This window comes from Homo sapiens, chromosome 8 (assembly GCF_000001405.40).
Source record: "Homo sapiens chromosome 8, GRCh38.p14 Primary Assembly".
Taxonomy (NCBI): Eukaryota; Metazoa; Chordata; class Mammalia; order Primates; family Hominidae; genus Homo; species Homo sapiens.
Window position 1 is genome coordinate 124,735,721 of NC_000008.11, and position 27,629 is coordinate 124,763,349.

The following is a 27,629-nucleotide window of genomic DNA, read 5'->3' on the forward strand; positions in this document are numbered from 1 at the left end:
GGAAGGGGAACAGATAGTCCAAGAGATATTGCCTGAGAATTTTGTAGAGGTGAAATGCATCAATCCTCAGTTTTAGGGAGCACAGCAAGTTCTGAACAAGATAAGCCAAATGAATTGATTTTTTTTCATACTGAATTATCATACTGCAAATTGTAATTTGCCGTATATACTTATTTCTTTCAGAGTGTCAAAGAAAACTCCTTATAATAAAAAAAAAGAAAATTGTATTTGTTGTAACATCCTTGTTGCTGGGGGGTGTAGTAAAATCATTTATTTGCAGGATTTGGCGTAACAGAAATCTGCAGAAACAGGAGAGTCGGCGCAACGGCCCTTTGGAAGATATCTAGCAGGATCACTGTGCCGACCACACCCTTCCTTTCAAATTTATCTTTCATGCTGCTTTTCTGGAGTTTTGTGTCTATAGGGTACAGGCAGGAAACAGATGGCCCACTCAAACTGGGTAAGAAGGAAGTTTAAGAAAGAGACTATTTGCACGGACATGGGCAGGGTGTAGGGAACACCATGGATGGTGCAGCTCTGGGGTCCAGCAATGGTGAGAAGCCATCACCACCCCTGCCAGGAGAGGGCAAGAAGAGGGGGTAAGCTGGAACCCAGAGAGCCAGCTGCGTGGAGGGGGCTGAGTGTGGCAAGAGCTGTGGCCCTCTGAAGGGCCCTACAACCAACCTGGACGGCAAGAATCAAACTCCAACAGACATTTGTCCACAGAGTCCTGGTTTGCTCCCATCGCTCTTTCTCAAAAGTACCACAGTTTGGACAATAAATGGGTTGATCACTTGTACAAAGGTGCCTGTTGGTACAGTCCATACAGAACAGCTTTCTGACAAAGCGAAGCAGGGGAGGTTGGAGAGTGAATTGGGGCTCAGGGGAGCAATGGAAAATATTCAGCATGAACGTCGACTGCTCAGTAGTAAATGTCTTTTTGTTTTTTTATTTTTTTGAGACAAGATCTAGCTCTGTCACCCAGGCTGGAGTGCAGTGGCACGATCTCGGCTCAGGCCCAAGACAGCCTCCCACCTCAGCCTCCTGAGTAGCTGGGACTACAGGTGTGCACCACCATGCACAGCTAGTTTTTGTATTTTTTGTAGAGATGTGGTTTTGCCATTTGCCCAGGCTGGTCTTGAACTACTGAGCTCAACTTAACTGAGCCTGCAGCAGTTACTGAATGCCCAAGAGAACAATGGCAGTAGTGGGGGGTGGCAGGGGAACAGAGGGGCAGGGGGATTCTTCTTGACAAGAAACTGTTAGATTCTCTCTTTAGATTTTCACTAAGGAAGACTTGGCTTGTGGTCACAGGGGTGAATTTAGGCTTCTGAGCCAGGAGACATTTAATCTGCCTGCCTCCCAAAGTGCTAGGATTACAGGCATGAGCGCTAGGGTTAAAAAAAGACTGGCTATGTCGTTTTAATTAAACCAGCTTTATTGAGATATAATTCACATACCATAAAATGCACCCTTTTAAAGTGCAAAATTCAGTGATTTTTAATATATTCACAGTTGTGCAAATATCACCACAATCAATTTTAGAACACTTTTATCACCCCTCAAACCAGCCCCCTACCTATTAGCAGTCACTCTCCATTTCCCCACAACCTCCCTTTTCCCTAACCCTACATAACCACTAATCTACTCTGTCTCTATGGATTTGCCTATTCTGGACATTTCATATAAATGAATCATACAATATGTGGCATTTTTTATCTGGTTCGTTTCACTTAGCATACTGGTCTCAAGGTTTATCCATGCAGTAGTGTGGATCGATACTTTTTTTTTATGGCTGAATAATATTTCATTATATGGTTATATCACATCTTGTTTATTCGTCAGTTGATGGATATTTGAGTTGTTTCTACTTCTTGGCTGTTACTGATAAAGATGCTATGAACCCTTGGGTGAGTTTCTGTGTGGGTATGTTTTCAATTCTCTTGGATATATACCTATAGTGGAATTGCTGGGTTATGTGGAAAATCTATGTGTATCCTTTTGAGGAACTTCCAGAGTGTTTTCCCATAAGTAGTTTTTTATTTCTTATAATTCATAAGGTTTTTTACAGCATGAAATAACTGGTGTAGTCATTAATTCATAAGGTTTTTTACAGTATGAACTAACTGGTAGAGTCATTGTCCATCTGTTTGTAACAGTTGACACCATCCATCCACATAAAAAGATTTGGCTGCTGTGACTGGGCACGGTGGCTCACGCCTGTAATCCCAGCACTTTGGGAGGCCGAGGCAGGCGGATCATGAGGTCAGGAGATCAAGACCATCCTGGCTAACACAGTGAAACCCTATCTCTACTAAAAATACAAAAAATTAGCCAAGTGTGGTGGCGGGTGCCTATAGTCCCTGCTACTCAGGAGGCTGAGGTAGGAGAATGGCATGAACCTGGGAGGCGGAGCTTGCAGCTTGCAGTGAGCCAAGATCGTGCCACTGTACTCCAGCCTGGGCGACAGAGCAAGACTCTGTCTCAAAAAAAAAAAAAAAAAAAAAACTTGGCTGCTGTGAGGTCCCCAAATAGTCATTGGTGGTGTGTTAAATCTCTCCATTTCCTAGCTTTGTAATCACAGCAGATTGTTTATTGAGTCTTCAGATAGCATGATTTTAAAGATTTTAACATTCATTTTGGAATAAACCATTGTTTAGATGTTTCTAGCATTAAGACACTCAGGCAAACAAAATCGTATTGTAGTCAATTAATGGTCTGACTATATGTCAGTCTCTTGTAAGTTTGGCTAGTAGGAGTCTGTCACTGAGAGCTTAACTCTGGATTTACTGGCAAGGCCAAGATTCTGTACCTTGCACTGCAAGCTTTGTGTGTATTCTGGTTTGTTTGGACAACAGAGTATATTAAATGGCACTGGAATTAGGCAGACATTGGGGAAAGATGTTGAATACCAGCAGTTTAGCATCTATCATCTTTGCTCTGTCCACTTTATATATTTAAGTAACCAGGGTGGCTCAGAGCTTCCTCCCCAGAGCAACTCTATCAGAATGCCTGCAATTGCAAGAGGTTTTACCTGAGCAGACAGCAGACTTTCTTCTCCTAGGTCTTGAGCTTTTCTTTGAAATCAACAACAGAAACAGCAACATGGGAGACTATTTTTAATGGGGGCAGTATGTGAGATGGAATGGGCATGGGGTTTGAAGTCATAGAGACTCAAGTTCGAATTCTGGTGTTTCAGTGTTTCAGCTGTGTCCGTGAGCAAATTACTTGACTGGCCCATCCCATTGCATAACATACAAAATGTAATGCTCATTTCAAAATCTTGAGAATTAAAGATAATATGGTTAATGAGCTTAGCCTGCAGCAGTTACTGAATGCCCAAGAGAATGGTGGTGTTGGGGGCAGGGGGGCAGGGGGGCAGGGGGATTCTTTTTAACAAGAAACTTTTAGCTTTCCTCTCTAGATTCTCACTAAGGAAGGCTTGGTTTGGGCTAATAGGGGTGAATTTAGGCTTCTGAGCCAGGAGACATTTAGTCAATTGTTTCAAAGCAGTTCTGTCTTGTTTACTTTTAATAATGGGTTTGTTTGCTTTTAATAATAAGAACCAGACCCAGCCCTCCTATTTTCTGAAGGTTGTGAGCAGATGGAGGCTTATGACCTGGAGTTCAGTAGTAATCTTTCCAGCCACAAGTGGCCAGCGGCCACAGGCAACAAGTGAAAACAGGTTGTGTACAGGGAACCATTTCATTTGCAGGGGGTAATGCTATTTACCTGGGATCCTATCCAGCAGCTTCAAAGGTGGTGGCAGCCATTACCCGACTAATGAGCACAACACCCCTGGCTCCCTGTCTTCAAGGCAGGAAGATGCTGTGATGCACATCAGGAGATGGAGGGAAAAGAAATGACTTGCCCACCTGAGTGGCAGGTGAGTCACATTAGCCTCTCTGTGCCTCGCTTTCCTCATTTGTAAAATGAGAGGGTTGGTCCCTTCCACGTGATGTCTTCCATATGAGTCTGGCTGACCTGCAGACCTGATTTTAAGCTCTCTCTGGGTTCTTTGTCTGTTTTAGATATCTAGACATATATGTCTGTCTCTGTGTGTATGTGCATGTTTATGTGTTGCAGAAACAGTTGGGAAAAGAGATTAAGGAAGGGATGGTGCTGTTGGCTCCAGGCAGTGACTCAAGGAGGCATTCATGGTGAAAGAAGAAAGGCCTTTCTCAGGTGATGCTTCATCTTCCCCCACGTGCTCTGATACCCTGTCCCTGCCTTGATGTGTCTATAAATACAAACAGCAGGAGACCCGCATCAGTAGACAAAGCAGGTGGCTGCAACCTATTCTTCTTCCCAATGGCCACTGGGACAGTTCCTCTCCCCCAGAACTTGTTGTTTATATTTATTTTACACTAAAGCTATTTTAACATAAACCTGTTGAAATAGGAGAGGGCTTCCCATCTCACACCTCCACAGATGTGTATTTTCTAGAACAAATTCAAGACTAATCATAAAATGAAAACAGATTTCCACAAAGTTGTTCTTTATAATGTAAATTTTTTTCTGACAGGCAGCTTAATACTTCAAAGGGCAACCCATTCCTTTATTGATTATAACTAATTGTTTGAGATTTTCTTTAGCATGAGTTGAAATTTTTCTTCCTTTGTCAAAGTGAAGGAAGGGACTTGTATACAAGGAAGGTCCTTGTATAAAGGACCTATCATCAAGGTACCATCTCTCTTTAAACTTTAACTCCCAGAGGAGAAATACCTATAGCCACACAATTCATGTACTTTTTAGTCATTGGATCTCTATGACTATTATCATTATAGAAACTGTTTTAATATAATAATAATTTGAAAACTGGATTTTAAGAATACAAATTTAGAAATAGCAGTTCTCTCTAGAGACTCATTCATGAATATGGAAAGATCTTTTATCAGATAATTCCCCCCAGGGGTCCTTTAAATAGCAATCTCCTTCGTTTTGATTCAATTTGTAGAAATCCCATCTAGATGCATTACTGGACCACACATTGTGTAAAGGAAGGTACATTATGTGTTGGGTAACCATTTGGCTCTCTCTTTCTTCCCAACTTGTGACTAATTGATTTTGCCATTAATTGGGATTTCCCCTGGAGGCCATTTGATCTGTTTGCAGGATGAGCAGGGAGTTAGGGCAGTCCCTCCAGATGGGACGGCTTTCAATAAGCAGACAGTCCAAAGGGGCATCAGAGTGATACAGAAACGATTAATTGAATAACTCACTTGAAAATCATGTGCTGCTTTAAAGACCTAAAAGCTAAGTAAATACCTAAGTAAAGGCCATACTGATCAAGTAAGACTCCTTGTTGCAGCCTGGCTGAGAATAATGCCAGGAAAAAAAAAATTTAAGAGCATCCCATTAATGGATTCTTTAAAATACTGGAAGCATGATTCCAGGCAATAACATACTGTAATCCCCATAATACTCACATTTGCATAACTCTAGATAATTTATGAAGCATTTTCGCAGATACTGTGCAGATCTCACACTGACACGGGGGTGGGTTGGCTGTGAAAGGGCTCAACTGGACTTACATTCCAGGAGCAGAAACAGGCTTGGAGCTGTGGACTTCTCAGAGGCATACAACTAGTAAGTGGCAGAAATATTACCAGAACCCAAAACTTCTAATTCTAAATTTCTTGACAACACACAGCACCATCTCCCCAGTGCATCACAGCTAAAACCACCTTACTGGACTCTGTTTTACCCTGGAGAAGAAATGCATACTGACTGAGGACTCTGCTCCATGCCTGGCAAAATATTTGTATTATTTTTACAAGTATGTTTTAGTTTTATACAGATAAATACAATTTTAAATGGTTAAAGATGGCCTCATATTTAAAAAGCACATTGGGAGCCACTGTGTTAGATTATGCAGTGCAGACATAGAGAACCAAAAGGCTATGTGTGGTGGGAATAGTGAGGCAGAACAAGAACTTTCTAGAAAAGGAAAGAAAGGAGAGAACCTGTGGAGCGGAGCTGGGAACCAGGCTGGAGAGGAGAGGGAATAGCTGTCCAGGAGCAGCTATGCATGTAAACTAGACATGAGGCTCTATTTTATCGAGAATTTTCCTTCTCTTATCTCTACATGCCCTTTCCCACTACCACCTAGCAGTCAGCTTTATCCCCTGAGAGGACTTAGGGAAATGGAAGGAGGAGAGGAGCTGACTTTGTCTACCTAATAAGAGAAGGACAAGGGGAAGCCATTATCCTGACCTTTCTGTCTCCCCAGGAAATGGGTATCTACCTCTTTGCATTTGTTTACTAAGAAAGGCTATTCAAGTGATTTTTCCTAGAATAATGAAAGATGTTTCTAGAAGGTTTGCTTTCTCCCCAACACAAAGAAGCAGCCAGGAATTCCTAAATATCAAGCTTTTTTAAAAAAATTCCATTTCACCAGGCAATCCACTATGCACGTGAGAACAGCACCTACTTCATATGCTTGTTGTAAGATGTAATCAAGACCACGTACCTAAGCTGTTTACACAGGGGCAGGCACAAGTTAGGCATACCATGAACATTTGTGTCTTAGTCTGTTTTCTGCTGCTATAACAGAATACCTGAGATGGATTAATTTATAAACAATAGAAGTTTATTTGGCTCACCGTTCAGGAGATTGGAAAGTCTAAGAGCATGGTGCCTGCATCTGGTGAAGGCCTTCATGTTGTGTCATCCCATGGCAGAAGGTGGAAGGCAACAAAGGGCAGCAGTGAGCAAGCAAGAGGAGGCTGGACTCGCTTTTATAACAAAGGTACTCTGGAGATAAATTACCCACTCCTGTGATAACAACATTAATCCATTCATGAGGGCGGAGCCCTCTGACCTAATCACCTTTTATTAGGCCCCACCTCCCAAAAACTGTTGCATGGGATTAAGTTTCCAAAACATGAACTTTGGGGAACACATGCAAACAATAGCAATTTATAAATAAGGACCAAAATTTGTTGAGGACTTAACAGGTGAACCCAAGAGCTACAATGGGGCTCCAGGCACAATCTTTGTCTTCAAGGGGTATATTAGTCTGTTCTCCTGCTGCTAATAAAGACATACCAAAGACTGAGTAATTTATAAAGAAAAAGAGATTTAACGGACTCACAGTTCCACATGGCTGGGGAGGCCTCACAATCATGGTGGAAGGTGAAGGAGGAGCAAAGACATGTCTCACATGGTGGCAGGCAATAGAACATGTGCAGGGGAACTGCCCTTTATCAAACCATCAGATCTCATGAGACTTACTCACTATCATGAGAACAGCATGGGAAAAACCTGTCCCTGTGATTCAATTACCTCCCACCAGGTCCCTTCCACGACACATGGGGATTATGGGAGCTACAATTCAAGATGAGATTTGGGTGGGGACACAGCCAAACTATATCAAGGGCATACAGATTGAAGGTGGAAAACTCAGGATAAGGCAATGACAGTATAATGAGGAAGACAGAAATGCTCATCAAAACCCTACTGGCTTGGAATCTACTGTCCTAATAATGAAGCTAATGTTCTTCATTTTGCAGCCACTTCTACTCTTCTCTCTTTATTCTATTTTGCCTTTGTTTAAGCAATGAAGCTTAGAAGGCAGGGTTCATACGTGGGTCAGACTCTTAGGTAATTTTTCCATGTACAACAACACAGGAAACCAAAGCAGGACCTTGGAATCCATTCAGGATTGTGATGATTAACTTTGTGTCAACTTAGAGGGTGTTTCTGGATGAGATTAACATTTAAGTTGGTGAACTTTGAGTAAAGGAGATTTCTCTTCATAATATGGGTGGGCCTCATCCAATGAGTTGAAGATCTGAATAGAAAAAAAAGACCAACTTCCCTGAGCAGGAAGGAATTCTCCAGTAGACTGCCTTTGAACTTCATTGGCACCACTGGCTCTGCTGAATCTCCAGCCTGTGGGCCCATGCTGCAGAATCGGACTTGCTAGCCTCTAGCCTCCATAATCACATGAGCTAATTTTTTATAATGAAGCTCTATATTCATTTATTACTAGAATAAATCTCTTTATATTTATGTAAATCTCTCTCTCTTGCTCTCTCTCTCTCTATATATATATAGATACACACACATATACATATATATTTACAGAGGTCAATAACTGTGGCCCACAGGCCAAATCTGGCCTACTGCATGCTTTTATAAATAAAGTTTTATTGGTAGGGTACACAACAAAGCACATTTATTTACATATTTTCTATGGATATTTTTGAGTTATAAGGACAGCTGAGTATTTGTGATATATGGCCTGCAAAGCCCTAGCAAGCCTAAAATACCTATATGTGTGTGTGTGTGTATATATATATATAAAATATAGATGTATATATGAAATAATGTCTACAAATATTTGTACATTGTGTGTTGAATAATAGCCTAAAATACTTATGTGTGTATATATATATAAAATATGTACGTATGTATGAAATAATGTATAAATATATTTGTACATTGTGTGTATATATATACATGAAAGAGAAAGCGGGATTTACATATATATTTATATGTGTGTGTATATATATGTGTATGTATGTATGCATATATATGTGTGTGTATATATATATATATATATATACACATATACACACACATATCCATTATTAGTTTTCTTTCTCTGGAGAGCCCTGATGAATACAGGTATTTTTCTGTCTGCTCTCTTCAGCCATCACATTGTCATCTGGAAAAGGCTGCCAAATAGGCAACTTTCTCCTTCACTTCCAACTTGCTAAAAAGTCAGTATTGAAAAATCACGTACGCACTATCTAATGGTTTAGTCCACTGCACTGCATCCAATAAATGAACTATTAGGCAGCCAATACAATAATAATTATGAAGGCTGTGTGGAAACATAAGGATATTTTAAAGTTTAATGTGAGGTGAAAGAAAGCAGGAAGAATTGCAAATATAGGCATAACTATGTGAAATGTGTATCGTGTAGATAGATTAGACAGGAATAAAACAAAATGGAAATAGTCCCATTGAGATGACAAAATGACTTATTTATTTAACAAGTATATGTTGAGTGTTGTCTGCTACATGCCAGGCACAGTTCTAAGCCTTCAACTTTCTGTCTCTATGGATTTGCCTACTCCTGACATTGCACAGAAATAGAATAATAAAAGCTGGGTGCAGTGGCTTCCAGCACTTTAGGAGGCTGAGTGAAGATATGTGAAGAAACAATTGTGAGATTTTTTTCTCTTTAAACACTGGTAGTGTTTTCATTGTTATTTAATTTTGTGTTTTTTAACTTCTTTCATGATTTCCTTTTAACCGAAGGGTTTCTTAGATATTTACTTTGCTGGTATATTCTTTCAAAATTATCTCATTGCTTTCTTTCTAAATTGGATTATTGTCAGAGAACATGATTTGCATGATGTTAACTTTTTGGAGTATATTGTTGCATCTTTGTGGCCTAGTACATGATTAATTTAGTGAATACTTCCATTTGTACTTGAAAAGAATGTATATTTTCTGATTATTGAGGGTAAATTTCTCTCTATATGTTTTCCTGTTTAATAAATATATAGGTATAAAAAAACCTAACTAATACCAACTAGAATAGTCATAATCTTAAAAATGGACAATTATAAGTGCTAAGGAGGATGTAGAGAAATTGGAACTCTCAGACATTACTGGTAGGAATAAAAATGGTACAGTGTCTTTGGAAAATAACATAGCAGCTCCTCAAAGGGTTAAGCATAGAGTTACTATATGATCCAGCAATTCCAATTCCAGGTATATACCCAAGAAAATTAAAAACATATGTCCACACTAAAACTTATACACAAATGGTCATATCAGTAGTATTTATAATAGCCAAACATATCCATCAACTGATGAATGAATAAACAAAGTGTTATACCATACAATGGGATATTATTCAACCATAAAAAGGAATAAAGTAGTAACCCAGGCTACAACATGGATAAACCTTGAAAACATTATGCTAAGTGAAAGGAAAAGGCCAAATATTCTATTCTATTCTCTTCCTTCCTTCCTTCCTTCCTTCCTTCCTTCCTTCCCTCCCTCCCTCCCTTCCTTCCTTATTTCCCTCTTTTCCTCTCTCTCTCTCTCTCTCTCTATATATATATATATATATATATACACACACACATATACATATATATTTACAGAGGTCAATAACTGTGGCCCACAGGCCAAATCTGGCCTACCGCATGCTTTTGTAAATAAAGTTTTATTGGTAGGGTACACAACAAAGCACATTTATTTACATATTTTCTACGGATATTTTTGAGTTATAACAACAGTTGAGTATTTGTGATATATGGCCTGCAAAGCCCTAGCAAGCCTAAAATGCCTATATGTGTGTGTGTGTATATATATATAAAAAATATATATGTATATATGAAATAATGTATAAATATATTTGCACATTGTGTGTTGAATAATAGCCTAAAATACCTATATGTGTGTGTATATATATAAAATATATATGTATATATGAAATAATGTATAAATATATTTATACTGTGTGTGTGTGTGTGTGTGTGTGTGTATACATGAAAGAGAAAGAGAGAGGGATTTACATATATATTTATGTGTGTATATATACATATATATATATCTCCCCTATTAGTTTTCTTTCTCTGGAGAGCCCTGATGAATACAGGTATTTTTCTGTCTGCTCTCTTCAGTCATCACATTGCCATCTGGAAAAGGCTGCCAAATAGGCAACTTTCTCCTTCACTTCCAACTTGCTAAAAAGTCAGTATTAAAAAATCAGGTGCACACTATCTAATGGTTTAGTCCATTACACTGCATCCAATAAATGAACTATTAGGCAGCCAATACAATAATAATGAAGGCTGTGTGGAAACATAAGGATATTTTAAAGTTTAATGTGAGGTGAAAGAAAGCAGGAAGAATTGCAAATATGGGCATAACTGTGAAATGTGTATTGTGTAGATAGGTTAGACAGGAATAAAACAAAATGGAAATAGTCCCATTGAGATGACAAAATGACTTATTTATTTAACAAGTATATGTTGAGTGTTGTCTGCTACATGCCAGGCACAGTTCTAAGCCTTCAACTTTCTGTCTCTATGGATTTGCCTACTCCTGACATTGCATAGAAATAGAATAATAAAAGCCGGGAGCAGTGACTCCCAGCACTTTGGGAGGCCGAGTGAAATATGTGAAGAAACAATTGTAAGATTTTTTTCTCTTTAGAAACTTGCCTAATACCAGCTAGGATAGTCATAATCTTAAAAATGGACAATTATAAGTGCTAATGAGGATGTAGAGAAATTGGAACTCTCAGACATTATTGGTAGGAATAAAAATGGTACAATCTCTTTGGAAAATAACTTAGCAGCTCCTCAAAAGAGTTAAGCATAGAGTTACTATGTGATCCAGCAATTCCAATTCCAGGTATATACCCAAGAAAATTAAAAACATATGTCCACACTAAAACTTATACACAAATGGTCATAGCAGTAGTATTTATAATAGCCAAACATATCCATCAACTGATGAATGAATAAACAAAGTGTTATACCATACAACGGAATATTATTCAACCATAAAAATGAATAAAGTAGTAACCCATGCTACAACATGGATAAACCTTGAAAACATTATGCTAAGTGAAAGGAAAAGGCCAAATATTCCCTCCCTCCTTTCCTTCCTTCCTTCCCTCCCTCCTTTTCTTTCTTTCCCTCTTTCTTTTTTTCTTTCTTTCTTTCTCTCTCTTTCCTTCCTTCCTTCCTTCCTTCCTTCCTTCCTTCCTTCCTTCCTTCCTTCTTTCCTTCCTTCTTTTCTTCCTTTCTCTCTTTCTCTCTCTCCTCTCTCTCTCTCTTTCTTCTTTCTTCTTTCACAGGGTCTCACGCCCCCAGGCTAGAGTGCAGTGGTGTGGTCTCGGCACACTGCAGCCTTGACCTCCCAGGCTCAAGTGATCCTTCCACCTCAGCCTCCCGAGTAGCTGGGACCACAGGTGTGCACCACCACACCCGGCTGATTTTTTTGTATTTTTTGTAGAGCTGGGGTTTTGCCATGTTGCCCAAGCTGGTCTTGAACTCCTAAGCTCAAGCAATCCACCTGCCTTAGATTCCCAAAGTGCTGGGAACCACTGCTCCAGGCCTCTATTATTCTATTTCTATGCAATGTCCAGAGTAGGATTCATAGTTGCCAGGAGCTGGGGAAGGGAGGAGGAGAGACTAGGGAGTGCCTGCTAAAGGGCATGGGGTTCTTCTTGGAGGTGATGAAAATATTCTGGAATGAGTGGTGATACTTGTACAACTCTGAGGCTAATTGTACACTGTGAAAGGGTGAATTTTATGGTAGTGAATCATATGACAATAAAGCCGTTATTAAAAATGGCCTAATGGTGTTGTTGTTATGTTGCTTTTACAAATAAAATGTGTAATTAATGTTTTTTTAAAAAATAGCCTGCCTGTTTGTTAAGAAGTTTATGTCTGGTTCTTTAATACCAGTGACATGGCCTCAACTTACCTCAGCCAAATTCTAAGGAAACCATCCAGGCAGGTTCCTGGTGTGGGCCAGGAACAATCAAAAGAAGGGGGACAACAGCTTTATTAGTTTGTTCTTGCACTGTTATAAACACCCGAGGCTGGGTAATTTATAAGGAAAAGAGGTTTCATTAGTTCACAGTTCTGCAGGCTGTACAGGAAGCATGGCGACATCTACTTCTGAGGAGGCGTCAGGGAGCTTCCAATCATGGCAGAAGGCAAAGGGGAAGCCAGCACCTCACATGGCAAGAGCAGGAGGAAGGTGGGTGGCAGGTACCACACACTTTTAAACAACCAGATCTCATGAGAAGTCACTCACTATCATGAGAACGGCACCAAGGGGGAGATCAACCCCCATGATCCAATCACCTCCCACCAGGCCCCACCTCCATCCAACATTGGGCCTTCCAATTCAAAATGAGTTTTGGGGAGGAACACAGATCTAAACCACAGCACCAGCTATCACTCCCAAGCCAGGATTTCAGAACCATGTAAACCTTTGATTACTTAGGTCAACCCTGAACAGCTTCACACAGAGGGCACAAGTTTCAGAACTGAATGATTAATACACTCTCACAGTAAACTAGGCCTGAGATTTAACAATAAAAACAACAACAACAAAGGCTGCTAGTTTTAGAATATTTGGTCATCACAGTAACCCTGTAAGACAGGTTCTATCATTAGCCTCATTTAACAGGGAGAGGAACCGAGGCCAGGAAAAAGCCAAGTAATTTGCTAAAGGTAGCAAAACTAGCAAGGGGTGGAGTTAGGGTGTGTCCTGGTCCATTCCACTAGAGCTTAACTTTTTACCCTCATTGCCATCTGCCTCTGTAAACCCTTGTTCTGCTTGGCCATGATACAGGTGATACTAATGTGTGTGTTGCAGTGGCTCTTTGGTTTTCTGTTTTACTCTGTGGGCCATAGTCCCATGCAGTTCGTTGTGTTTTGAGGAGGTCTCCAGCAGCCTGAGGAAAGAAGCTAGGTCAGAACCCAGGAGGCTGGGTCCCAGCCCAGATTCTGCCACCAAATGCACATCTAGCTCTCAGATGAGCTCCTCTTAAGTGTTGCCATAATACACAGCTCTGCTCATTCTCAGCGCATTTGTCATTACTTGCTCCAGGCTGGCCTTCTCAGCCCCTCTGGCCTGTGCTGATAATAATGACAACAGCCACCACAACTAGAACTCACAGAATGGCACTCTGTTCTGAGTGTTTCATGTGCATTATCTCATGCAAGCCTCACTCTGACCCCACAAGGGGGATGCTATTAGTATTCGCTTTTTGCAGTGGGGAAACCGAGGTATGACAGGGGTAAGTAACTTGGCCAACATCATCATGCAGATAGTATGATGGAACCAGAATTCTACAGAGGCAATTTGATGCCAGGTCCAGAATGTGGAGGCTCATGGCTATCACTCTACCTCCTGCAATGTCAACTGTATATGGGCAGAGGTATGGCTGCCTGGTCACCACTGAATCCCCAGCAATTACCTACCTCAAGGCCTACTACATGACACAGGCCTAACAGGTATTATGGAATGACTGAATGAACGAATGAATGGCTTCTATCTAATCTGCACAGGGTCTAACATAACCTCCCATACACACTGGAAGTTAATACTATGTAGTCTCCCTGATTCATTTACTGTTTTCTCCCTAGGCCATGGTTATTGTCAACAACCAAAGAGAAAGCCTTCACTATACACAAACAGTCATTCATTTACTCTGCCCCATCAAGCTTTTGTTCGTATATTCCTGATGTCTAATTGTTTCTCTTGTGAGGTTTGGATGCCCTGTTGAATGAAAAGAAACATTTACACAGGGTACAGTGGCTCATACCTGTAATCCCAGCACTTTGGGAGGCCGAGGTGGGAGGATCGCTAGAGCCCTGGTGTTCAAGACCAGCCTGGGCAATGTGGTGAAAACCCCGTCCCTACAAAATATGGAAAAAATTAGCTGGACATGGTGGCACTTGCCTGGAGTCCCAGATACATAGGAGGCTAAGGTGGGAGGATCACTTGAGCCCATGAAGTCAAGGCTGCAGTGACCCATAATTGTGCCACCACACACCAGCCTGATGACAGAGCAAGCCCTTGTCTCAAAAAAAAAAAAAAAAAAAAAAAAGCAAAACATTTATTTCACCAGATGCTAGGGAAAACGAGAGATCATTTGCTTGTTGCCCACCCAGATCTATGCCACAATTTGCTCTTCTTTCCCTTTGAGGGGGTTGTTTTTTATTGATATACTCAATCAGTGGCCCTGCCACAAATGCTTCCAAAGAGCCATCACCTGCAGGTCCCCTTCACTTGCCCTCTCTCTGGAGCTTGCTCACTTCTTCTCCTTGACACCATTTACGGGAAGCAGTGCTGCGTTTACAGCCGTGTGGACCGCCGCTCTATGGAACCCAGCTCCCATACTGGATGCCGTGGGGTCCTGTTCGTTGCTGGCAGCTTTTTTTGGGTTGTTCATTTCCACTGCATAGCACTAATAGCTTTTTCAGACCTCTCCTGGGATGTGGACTATTTTGTATTTGTAAGACACCTTTATGGAAATGGCCTCCAGGTTTAAAGTGTCATGTGACCACTTGTTCAGTTGGAGATGACCGTGCCAAGGCCTCATTCATCGGAAAGTGAAAGTGCGTGGCCAGTAACTGTGACATTGAGAATGTCCTTGTGGCACTGGATGTCTCTGCAGGACTCAAGTGAGGCTGGTTGTATGAAATAATGTCAGGGAAAAAAATAGGGTTTTTTTTTTTTTTTTTTTTACTGATTCTAATGATTGTTCTGCTAGCACTTTAAAGGCGAGTGAAAGAATACAAAGGAAGTTCAATTGTGTGGCGACAGGCTAAGAAAAGAGGAAAGGAAGGAAGTGTTAAGTTTGAAAGCTGGGGGGTTTTGCCCTTCCAAAGCAGTGGCATGGGATCCACCCAAATGCCAAGTTCTCATCCTCATCGTCAGGGTAGCAGGCAGAGAGGGGTTTCCAGAACCATCATTTGAACCCTCACTCTGTGCCGGCCACCCTTTCACTGTCTAATTCTTATAACAGTGCTATGAGAAAGTGATGATTGACTTATTTTGTAGTTTGAAAAACTGACTCTCTTGGCCGGGCACGGTGGCTCACACCTGTAATCCCAGCACTTTGGGAGGCCAAGGTGGGTGGATCACAAGGTCAGGAGATCAAGACCATCCTGGCTAACATGGTGAAACCCCGTCTCTACTAAAAATACAAAAAATTAGCCGGGCATGGTGGCGGGCACCTGCAGTCCCAGCTACTCTGGAGGCTGAGGCAGGAGAATGGCGTGAACCTGGAAGGCGGAGTTTGCAGTGAGCCAAGATGGCGCCATTGCACCCAGCCTGGGCGACAGAGCAAGACTCCGTCTCAAAAAAAAAAAAAAAAAAAAAAAAGAAAGAAAAACTGACTCTTAGGGAAATGACGTGGCTTGGCCAATGCCACACTGCCCAGAGACTGAGTCATTATTTAAACTCAGGGTTATCTGATGCTAGAGCCAGGCTTTCCCCTTTCTGCCACCCACCTGCTGGCAACAGAAGGCAATCACATCAGTGACCATGGCAAGAAGGACCTGTTCCGTGTCCTCACTCTGGTAGGCACTGCTCTTTTGTCACTTAGGAGATTCTTCCAGCTGCTCTTCCTTGGTGTCCAGTAAGTAAAACTGACAAGAAACAGAACAATCTCTTGTAGCAAACTGAATTCTCTATGACATACAAACTTGAAGAAGGATGCCTCCAAAGATAGAGTAGCTGATGGAAGACACTATAAAAAGAAAGTCCCCTGTAGGGAGGAAGAAAGAGGCCGGAAGGAACTGGCCAGAGATGTGAATCACCCTGGGTGCTTAACCATGAAGAGCCTGAGGAGGCCCCTGTGTTTGTTTCCATGGTTCCCTACCCACCCAGCAGAACTCATTTCCTCTGTGGCTCTCCCTGATGCTTTGAGCGTTCCTCTCACTGCTCTGATATTTGTTGAGTGTTTCCACGCGATGGTATATAGTTAAGATTACGTTCTCATGCCAATAATAACACAAACACATGCAGTGGCTTAAACAAGACAGGGTTCATTTTTCTCTCATGTAAAGTCTACAGGTTGGCCATGCAGGAAAAGCATGGCGGCTCCCTGGTGTTGTCAGGGACTCTGGCTCCTACTTTCTGCTCTCCTTTCCTTGCTTGCGGTTTCTTTATTCAAAGTCACCTCACGGCCTGAGATGATACCTGGAGCCCTTCATAGGTTGGAAGAAGGAGGAAAAACAGAAGGGAGGAAAGGGGCCTTTCCCAAATGAATCACCTGCTTTTAAACAGCCTTCCAAGGAGTCCCAAATAATGCTTCTCCAAATACATTGGCTAGAATTTATTCACGTGTCCATATTTGGCTGGAAAATATAACTGTATTTTGGAGGTTGTTTGGCAGCAATGTGCACATCTAAAATTTTATGGGGACATACTGATGGAAGAATGGTTATTTTAATAGACAAAAGTCAGCAAACTGTGGCCCACAGGCCAAATCTGGCCCACCGCCTGCTTTTGTAAATAAACTTTTATTGGTACACAGCCAAGCTCATTCATTTTCATATTTTCTATGGATATTTTTGTGTTACAACAACAATTAAGTATTTACGATGATAGATGGCTTGCAAAGCCTAAAATATTTATTATCTAACACTTCACAGCAAAAGTTTGCTGACTCCTAGAATAGACGAACAGCAAATAGTAATTTGTGGCAAATACCCCACCACCAGGCACTGGGCTGGGCACAAAGGTTCATGGCTGTGGGTTCCATTCTTAGGTGGCTGATAGTCCAGGGGATGAGACACAGCCAAGTCAAATTCTAACTACAGTATTGTGTGACGAGTGGAACTGTTCCATTCTGTTTAGTATGTTATGGGACCACAGAGGACACCTGAAACAGACTGTAGAGAGGGAGGGTAGGCAAGCTTTCTAGATGAGCTTAAAGGATGAGAAGTTAGAAAAGAGAAGAGCAAAAAGAATTCCAAGCAGAGGAGAAAGCATGTACCAAGATTGGAGGTGTGAAATGGCAGTCATTATGCTTTCATCCCACTGTGTGTCATAGCAGCCCATGAACCTGTCTCCTCGAGAGACCACACATCTTTGCCTCCCCCAGGCCTGGCACCAATGTGTGCAGGGCCTCTTCCTTGCAGGGGCTCCAAACACTTGTCAGCTGCTTACATTGACATCATCCGCAATCCTGTTACAGTAACGCCTATGGGTACCAATCCACTGACCCAGAATTTAGAGTGGGTGGGGATAGAGTGGAGGGACACTGAGTTCCAATTCCAAGCTTAATTATCAACAGATAAAAGCAAGGGCTTTGGATGAAAATCTCAACCACTACTACTTCGTACCTTGCATAAGCTTGGACAAGTTGCTTAACTTTTCTAAGCTTCATTTTTCTTCATCTATAGAAGTGAAGATAGTGTCACGAGCACGTATAAGTTTTCTCAATCTCCATGCTATCGGCACTGGGGGCTGGATAATTCTTTGCTGTGGAGGGCTGTCCTGTGCATTGCAGGATGTTCAGCAGCATTCAAGGCCTCTACTCACTAGATGCCAGTAGCAGCCCTGGAGCTATGACAATCAAAACTGTCTCCAGACATTGCCAAATGTCCTTGGGGGAGCAAAATCACCCCTGCTTGAGAACTTATCAGCTAGTAGTAGAATTAAATGAGATAATGTTTTATATGTGTGTTTAGTAAGTGTGAAAACTATTTTTATTGTCTTCATTAGTACTCAGAAAATATTTGAAAGGACAAATGAACTCGTGGAAGAAGAATGAAAACCTCATAGAAACTATTTCTTGTTTAGGCTGGCAAACACAGGAAAGGAATTCTTAGCTGTGATAAACAAAATTTGCTGTTAAACCCACCTGTTGCAAATCCACATTATGTTAGGAATGTTGGCTGAATTACTTTCAAATGAGCTGCAGGGGACATCTGTTATAGTTTTATTTTTTATTTTTTTGAGATGGAGTTTTGCTCTTGTTGCCCAGACTGGAGAGCAATGGCACAATCTCGGCTCACCGCAACCTCCACCTCCCGGGTTCAAGCGATTCTCCTACCTCAGCCTCCTTGAGTAGCTGGAACTACAGGTGTGTGCCACCACGCCTGGCTAACTTTTGCATTTTTAGTAGAGATGGGGTTTCTCCATGTTGGTCCGGTTGGTCTCGAACTCTCGACCTCAGGTGATCTGCCCGCCTCGGCCTCCCAAAGTGCTGGGATTACAGGTGTGAGCCACCACACCTGGCTGGACATCTGTTATTTTGTTGCCTATTTCTACCTTGCTTGATTTAGGTTTGGGGAAAACACCTACCCCCACTTTCAGCCATGTGCTTTGCGTGAAGCTGACCTCTACATTGGTTCCAGTGGTGAATCACTGGAGTAAGGTCCAAGTCACCCAGGGAAGTCCTTTCTCCGGCTCACAGTGGTTAGTCTGAGAGAGGGAACAGGCTTGAGCCAAGGCCCAGTCAGAAAACCAGAGGGGGTTTTCTTGGTTAACATGAAAATGGAGCTACTCTTTCCCATTGGACTTGAACGTGAGAGGTCTTAAGATCTAGACTGCACCTGGGAAGTGAGGTCATGTCTGAGAATAAGGCCGACACATGAAGGAGGACAGAATTGAGCAGAGACATGGAAAAAAACTGAATTCTGGTGATTTTGTCTGCATTCTTGCAGTCAACTACGCCTGCAGCCCACCTTACTCCCTAACTGTTCATGTTCTTCAGCTGATACGTTTTATTTTTGCTTAAGTTAGTTTGGGCTGGTTTTTCTGTCTCTTGAAACCAGAAGACCACGATACTTGATCCTGATGACATCAAGAGTAAAACACTTTATGGCTATCTTCACACATTTCTAAAAATAGACTTTGGATCAGTTGGGATGCTTTGGGTGACAAATAATGGAAAAACCTAACTCCAAATGGCTAAAGCAATATATGAATTCATTAGCTCATTCTTGAAAAAGTCCAAAGTAGTGTAGGCCTCAGGCCTGGGTTCCAGATCTATTCCAGATCAAAGTAGTGTAGGCCTCGGGCCTGGGTTCCAGATCTATTTCTCTGTAGCTCTTTTGGCCAAACTGTTCTCACTGTTTTGGCTTTGCCTTTAGCCTGGCTTCCCTGGTAGCACGAATGTGGTAGTGGTCCAGACCACATGGGAATGTGCCACCTGGGAAAGGAAGAGGAAGAAGACTCTTCTTGACTGAAAACCATCAAGCAGACGTCCCGGCCTTCACTTTGGTTAGAAGAACTTAGATCACATGCCATCCTTACACCAAGGCAAGCAGGAGGGGGTCTCCCTGGTTTGTAGCCAGGGCCCGAAGCTGGACCTGGGGATTGGATCTGTGCCAGCCCAAGCTGGGAACTGCATCATGGTGGGGAAGGGCATGGGCACTGGGAAGCATGTTCACTGCTCACTTTAAAACAAGAAAATTAGAGTAAATGTCAACTGAAATGTCACCTTTAGTGACATCTTTCAGTTTCTTCCATTGCATATCAGCACTCCTTCTGGGCTCGTTCAGGATTTGCTTGTTTATATAATAGCAATTATATCACAGTTGCTAGAGTTATATTTTTGTTTAACATCTATTCTCTTTACTAGACAATCTGGGCAGAGCCCAAGTCCAACATCTTTTATTTCCTTTAGTATAGCCTCATACTCAGTAGGGGCTCACTCTTTCTCTCCATTTTTTTATCCAATAAACTTTGTTCCCCCACAAAGCAAGGACAGAGTTTCAAGCCCAGCTGACCGAAAGAGTCTAAATAGAGTGTCTGAACTGTATTTTCCTGACCAAAGCTTGACTCTCTCCTCCAGACTTACTGGCTATGTGATGCAGGACAAGCTACTTACCTCTCTAAATCTCAGTTTCCTCAATTATAGAATGGGGATAACAGTACTATTCACCTTATAGAGTTGTTCAGAAAAGTAAGTGAAATAATGTCTATAAAAGTGCTTAGCACAGGGCTAACTCATGGGAAGTGCTCACCAACGTTAGCAATGGCTCTTTTTTTTGGTCACTGGGTGTGTGTTTGGGCACGTTGGATGAATCTACCAGGGCTGCAATTTCTTTATCTGTGAATGGCGGAAAACAATCTCTACTTTATGAGGCTGGTGTGAAGGACAAAAAGGAAGATCTTGGCATACAGTAGGTGTCGACTAAATGTTAATTCCAAGTCACTTTCTCCATGCCCATCCCAGCATGGAATAAGAGGGAGACATCCCTTTCATTCCTTCTGTACCTCCCACAGATGGAAAAGGAGTTTGAGAACCTAAAGTTTTGTTTTATAAATAAGGATGAAGGATCCCTTATTCGAAAGGCTTGGGACCAAAAGTTTTTCAGATTTTAGATTTTAGAATATTTGCATATACATAATGAGATATCTTGGGGATGGGACCCAAGTCTAAACATGAAATTCATTTCTATTTCGTATATACCTTATACACATAGCCTGAAGGTAAATTTATACAATACTTTAATAATTCTGTGCATGAAACAAAGTTTGTGTACACAGAACCATCAGAAAGCAAAGATGTCACTATCTCAGCCACCCACATGGACAATCTGTGGTTGTTTGGCATCACCACCATTCCTGACTCTGAATTTATATGCTACTGAGAAACAATCATTTTCTCATATTTACTCACACATGAGGACCTAGCAATACAAAATGGACATACCATTAATACAGTAAAAAATCGTGTGTTCAGGGTAAAGAAGCAGCACAGTGCATCACCAAAATACCTGGATCACCTGCTAAACAACAGCAGCAACAAACAGCGGCTGGCTTTTAGTCTCCACCTGTGATGCTGTGTTTTGACTAAAAGGTTACTGTGCACTGTATTTTATTTTATTTTTTTGCAGTGAGAAGAAACATCAGAAGCACTTGAGGGACCAAAAGTGGGTCCTCCAGGGAGGAGGAGGCATTCTGTTGGATGTTTTAAAAAATCTTTCCTCCAGAGTCATCTGCCTCATCAACAACAGTTTTGTCTTAGAAGTCTTCTTTGCATCATGGGGAACCTGCCACTGGCGGGTCCAGCCTGCACACGTAGCATTTATTACCCTTTGTGGGTATGCTCGGAAAAGATACATCACAGCTGGGAGGGTCTCCTTTCCCTTGGGGATGCTGAATAAACTGTCATGCGTCTGTTTTAACTGTGACCATCACATGAGGTCAGGTGTAAAATTTTCCTCTGTGGCATTATGTCCAAAAGGAGACTCAAACAGTTTCAGATTTTGGATTTCAGGTTTTGCTTTAGGAATGCTCAAACTGTATTTAGAAATCAGGGGCAAAGAAACCCTTCCCTATGCTTACAGTGACATTGTGGTTGAGATCTGATAGTTGTAGACCATGCAATCCAGTTCTGTGGTTCTTTTTCCGACCACTGTCAACCACATTGGGCTTTCAGACAAACCTGCAGACAGTGAGGTTGAAACTTGGGTTGGAACAGAAGAGTGATACTTACGTGAGCAGCTGCAAAATGTTCTCACTTACGTTTGTGAAAGTCAATGCTGGCCAAGGCAGGGGAACTCTTGCATTTTTGTTAAGTTACTGACTTTTTTCCCCATTTGGATGTTTCCAGTTACCTTAGTGGACTTGTTTGTCCTGAGTCCCAGGACATTGTTTAAAATGCCAGTTGGCTCAGGTGGAAGCTACTAGACAAAAACAGCTTTACAGCATGAAAAATCTTTTGGATTTCAGACAGTGATTTATGCGTTAGTGGCTGTGATGGGGGGCAGGAGGAGTTCAGCTATCTCTAGCCCATTATTCATTTCTGTATCGCAACCCCTCTCACATTACCTGATGTAGTGTCAGGGCTTAGCAGATAGTTGAGGACTGCATGAAGGGAGGAGGAATCACTACCAAATAGGCCAAAGCACAAATTCCAACCAATGATGTTTATAGCTTATTGATGGCAGAATTTTCAGGCTGGCCAGAGGCTTGTTTTGACATTTACTGACTTGTACTTTCAGAAAGATCAAGAGGAGCCAGGCGTAGTGGCTCACGCCTGTAATCCTAGCACTTTGGGAGGATGAGGTGGGTGGGTCACCTTAGATCAGGAGTTCCAGCCCAGCCTGGTCAACATGTTGAAACCCCATCCCTACTAAAAATACAAAAATTAACTGGGCATGGTAGCAGGTGCGTCTAATCCCAGCTACTTGGGAGGCCGAGGCAAGAGAATGGCTTGAGCCCGAGAAGCGTTGGTTGCAGTAAGCCGAGATCGCGCCAGTATACTCCAGCCTGGGTGACGGAGCAAGACTCCATCTCAAAAAAACAAAGACCAAGGGAGAATTTGTTAGGGCCAGTTGGCCCTGATTTTCAGTTAGGATAATGAGTGGTGTGAGCCCAGGCAAAGTGACCATATCCCTGAGTGTGTAATTGATGAGTGTCCAGGGCCTGCCAGTTCAGCTTGGGGATGGGGGCAGAAAGTTCCTGCTGCTAAGCCCCTCTGGAAGGTCATTACGTTCAGGTTAGGGATCATGATGTTATTCTCTATTTTTCCTGTCACCTCACTCTTATCAAGACTTCTGTGTGCGGTAACACAGGGGAACACAGGCTTAGAGAAGCTGGATCTGGAAGGGGCCTGTGTTTATCCATTGGGCCTGCCAACCATAGGCATCAGAATTATCTGGCATACTGGCTCAAAATACAGATTCTTGATTCCAACTCTTGACCTGCTCAACTGGCTTCTCTGAACCAAGTTATTCCTCAAGTTATTCTTACGTACACTAAAATTAGATATCCACTCTTTTCATCCAGCTTATTTATTTTCTATAGGAAGAAAATGAAACCCAGAGAAGTAAAGTGACTTCCCTAACATCACACAGCTAGTTTGCAAGAGGAGATGATTCCACTGTGCTGTCAGGAGTGCTGAATTCTCTTTTACGTGTTGTTGTAAAGTGTTTTCATCTGTATTCTCCCATTTGGTTTTCTCAACCACTCTTTACATGAGAAAAAATATATTATTTGTTTTCATGTCATGAAGAAAAGCAGTTTTTATTTCTATTTCTGTGTTAGCAGCCAGACATGACCTTCTCAAGAAAGTTACCACTGGCCCATCTAGCACCTTTGTGCAAATTAGTAGAAGGCACTTTTTCTTCCAGGAAAATAAAAGTCTGTCCCATGTGACCAGCATGCGGGCTGGATGTGAGCCCCTCCTCTCATTCTTGGTTGAATGGGCTTGGGCAGTTTCCAACCTGTACAACTATGCATGACAACCTTGCTCTTAAGGATGAAGATCATGTCTTGTACTTTTGTTTTTATTTCCCGGTGCCTAGCCCAGAGCTAGACTTATACATGTTGAAGAAAAGTGGTTGAAATAAATTGCCCAAGGCTACCTGATTTATCAGTAGCAGGACTGGAACCTCTGATTCTAAGGCATGGCTCCCAGATACCTTACACAGGAGACGGCAAACTGAAATCTGAAATGGTGTCTATACTCCATCTCTTGGGAAATTGACCAGTATAATTTATTTTTATTTATTTATTTATTTTGAGACAGGGTCTCACACTGTCACCCAGGCTGGAGGGCAGTGGCATGATCTCGACTCACTGCAATCTCTGCCTGCTGGGGTCAAGCCATTCTCTTGCCTCAGCCTCCCGAGTAGCTGCGATTACAGGCACCTGCCACCATGCCCAGCTGATTTTTGTATTTTTAGTAGAGACGGGGTTTCACCATGTTGGCCAGGCTGATCTAGAACTCCTGACCTCAGGCGATCCACCGGCCTGGTCCTCTCAAAGTGCTGGGATTACAGGTGTGAGCCACCATGTCCAGCCAAGACCAGTATAATTTAGTTCTCCAGAAATAAATTACTTTGGAATGACCCCTGAAAACCAGTCTTCAAAGTCAAGGCTGGATTTGTGGAAATTCCCAACCCCGATGTCAGCACCAAAAAATGTAGCTGAGAATAGCCTGATTCCCCCAACCCCCTTCAACAATTCAAATTTTATCCTCTGCGTTTGGCAGAAGTTAAATAACAGTTTGCCATTGCAGAGCAAAAAGTTCACTATCAACCCATCTCTGCAACCCCTTGAAAGGTATAAACACCTGAACACTGGCAGTCCCACCTGGCCCATAATCACGGTAGTAGCACTTTGGCCTAGTAATAAACATCCAACTCTTAGCCTTTTTATTACACTGCTCTTTCAAAGAAGCATTTAGCTAATGTTATCAGAGAGAGGGGCCTGTTTCCCCTCAGAATGCCTCTGAGGAGTACCTTTTTATTGCCCAGGGGTGGAACATTCTCAGCTTCAGCTGTAAATCATAGAGTTGCCAACTTTTATTGAGCTCTTTGCAGGGACCAGGCCATGGGCTCAGGGCTCAGGGCTCAGGGCTCAGGTCTTTCCTGATTCTCTCATTTCATCCCCACAGTCACCCTATGAAGTAGGTGTTATTATTCTCATTTTACAGATAAGGAAACTGAGTCAGAGCTGTTAAGTAACTTGCCCAAGATTACATAACTAGTAAGTGGCAAAGCCAGGACTCGAACTCACACCCCAGGGTATCTGACTGCTAACCTGTTGTATTAGTCCATTCTCATGCAACTAATGAAGACATACTCGAGGCTGGGTAATGTATAAAGGAGAGAGGTTTAATTGACTTACAGTTCCACATGGCTGGGGAGGCCTCACAATCATGGTGGAAGGTGAAACGAACGTCTTACATGGCAGCAGGCAAGAGGGCATGTGTAGGGGAACTCCCCTTTATAAAACCATCAGATCTCTTGAGACTTATTCACTATCATGTGAACAGCATGGGAAGAACCCGCCTCCATGATTCTGTTACCTCCTACCTGGTCCCTCCCACAACACGTGGGGATTATACAATTCAAGGTGAGATTTGGGTGGGGACCCAGAGCCAAACCATATCACCCGTGTTGCTAACTCTCACACCATACTCCCTTAGCCTTGTGTGATGAGCTCTGGACTAGGTGCTGGGCACAAAGACCTGGGGACCGAGCCTCGTCTTTTTTGTGGGCGTTTATGCTTTTCTATGTTCACTGAGTGCTTACTGTGTGGTCAACACCATGCCCAACAGTTTTTATTGATTTATATGCATTTTCTAATTTAATCCTTAAAGCAAACCTATGAGGAAGTACTATTGCCCCTACTGTCTTTGTGAGAAGGTCAAGCTACTCACTCAAGGAGAAGGTAGGATTCCAAGTGCAAGTTTGCATGACTCTGAAGCTTGTTCTCACCCAGTGGACCACCCTTACTGGAATCTAGCAGTGTAGACAGAAATGCAGATTCCTGGGTCAAACGCTGGATCTACTGAATCACAGTCTCTCGCAGTGGGGCCAAGAAATCTGCTTTTCTGCCAAATATCCCAGATGGGCGCAGTGTGTGTTATGTTTAGAACTCACTTCTCTATCATGATGCTGGCAATGTAGACATTCCATGTTTTGAAAATTCATGGATTGTACGTTTCTGATTTATGTACTTTCCTTTATCAATCTTATATCTTAAAAAGTTTGCTTAAAAAGTCCCCTCCCATGTAGGACACAGTCTCTTCACTATGAACACTTTGCTTCTTTGCTAGTCTATCTCACACGTCATCACACTGTTAAATTTCCAACTGTAATTCGCATGGGACACCACGGCGCACTGGGCCTGAAAAACCAGGCTATGAGAATGTCCTGGAATCACCTCCTTCCTACCTTAACGCAATCACACAAAGGTTACCGGCAGTTCTCATTTTCTTTTCTCCAGATAATTCCTCCAAAATAGATTACCCAAGTGCCTCACTCTGAAAACTTCCATCGTGTTCTCTCAACCCTGAAACCCAAATCAGTACAAAACGGTCCCTTGGGGCCATCCCTCTTGACTAATTCTCAAAGTTTCCACCACCAAGTTGTGGGGTGGTACCGGGAACTTCTCCTTTTGGGCTTATTTGGCCCATGAATCACTCTTTGACTAACCTCGTCAGCTGTTGTTTTCCCCGCAACACTCGGTGAGTGTTTTTCCTCCTCTTCCACCTTCCTTGTCTTCTTTTGGAACCTCTGTAGAACCTTACAACAGAAATATCTCTTAATCTTCAACCTCTATTGATTCATCCACTCATTTATTCTTTCACTTACCTATTTACAGACATTTATTAAGCATCCACATGTACCAGGAACTCTGCTAGGGGCAAGAATTTAGAAAATAAACAAGAATGTGGGCCCTTTCCTCAGGGAACACAGTGTTTCCAAGTCACTTTTGACAAATACTTCTGGAGCTGACTCTTTTAATAATAATGGTCTTGCTGTTGATGATATTTTTGAGCCTTTTCTTCATGGCAGAACCTCTAATAGTTATTTTAGATGTATTGCTTAATATTCTCAACAACTTCATGAGGTAGGTACCACTATTGTCTCCAAATAATACAGATGAGGGAATCGAGGCCCAGAGAAGTCGTATCACTTTCCCAAGATCACACAGTTCATAAGGGCTGAATTCTAGAGCTAATCTGGAGTCTGACCCCAGAGACAGGCCTTTTTAATTACCACAGGCTCTCTGAGCCCTACAAACCATCCAATGAGAAGTGTCAGAAGTGCAAGGAAAATAGACAAAAGAGAGAAGAAGAAAGATGTTAAACAAGACTCTGGTGAGAACATAATTTTACCCTGGTTGACTCTGGATATAAGGGCATCTGAAAAGCACATTGGCTATAAAAGTGTGTTTCCAACAGTCCTAGAGCCATCCTTTCTAAAAGATAACATGTTCCCCAAACCATAGAACCATAAAATCTCAGTGTTGGGCAGGATCTTGATGTGGTATAACCCAAATCCCACTACATGCTGAATCTCTTTACAATCTCATCATCAAATCTGAAACCTGTCAGCCCTTGGCTTCCATTCATCTGCGTAAGTTCTGAGTTGTGGGAAAGTAATGGCAAAAACTGCAATTACTTTTGCACCAACCTAATAGCTTGATAGTGGTAATCATTTCCCAATGTATATGTGGAATATGATGAGGTTTCTCTTCAAATAATCTAATCAATCTTTTATTCTTTAATTTATAATAACGCCCCCCCCCCCACCTTTTTTTCCTTTTTCTCCTTTTTTTCCTTTTTGCATTTGTTAGATGCCCAGGCACGCCACAGGACAGGCATTATCAGTACCAGCTCACGTTCCTTTCCTTATTTAAAA

General features: G+C 42.1%; 1 long non-coding RNA gene across 5 annotated transcripts in view, besides 2 other annotated features; it reads left to right on the plus strand.

Annotated features, from left to right (window-relative positions):
* Positions 1-21,653, plus strand: part of LOC105375741 (uncharacterized) — a 28,835-nt gene extending 7,182 nt beyond the window's left edge. For 2 of the 5 annotated variants that reach the window (XR_001745686.3, XR_001745687.3), the window contains exon 3: positions 3,716-7,050. This is a non-coding gene — a long non-coding RNA (uncharacterized LOC105375741). Of the gene's footprint in view, positions 1-3,715; positions 7,051-21,362 lie in introns of those variants that run through there. The other 3 variants (XR_001745688.3, XR_002956670.2, XR_928609.4) reach the window with 3 other exon arrangements.
* Positions 16,076-16,617: an enhancer, noted in NCBI's record as "OCT4-NANOG hESC enhancer chr8:125764038-125764579 (GRCh37/hg19 assembly coordinates)". NCBI's record gives its function as "activates a minimal SCP1, AML or CMV promoter by ChIP-STARR-seq in naive H9 embryonic stem cells {active_cell/tissue: H9 hESC(naive)}" and the evidence as "EXISTENCE:reporter gene assay evidence [ECO:0000049][PMID:30033119]".
* Positions 21,813-21,972: a silencer, noted in NCBI's record as "silent region_19515". NCBI's record gives its function as "represses an Ori minimal core promoter by ATAC-STARR-seq in GM12878 lymphoblastoid cells {active_cell/tissue: GM12878}" and the evidence as "EXISTENCE:reporter gene assay evidence [ECO:0000049][PMID:35858748]".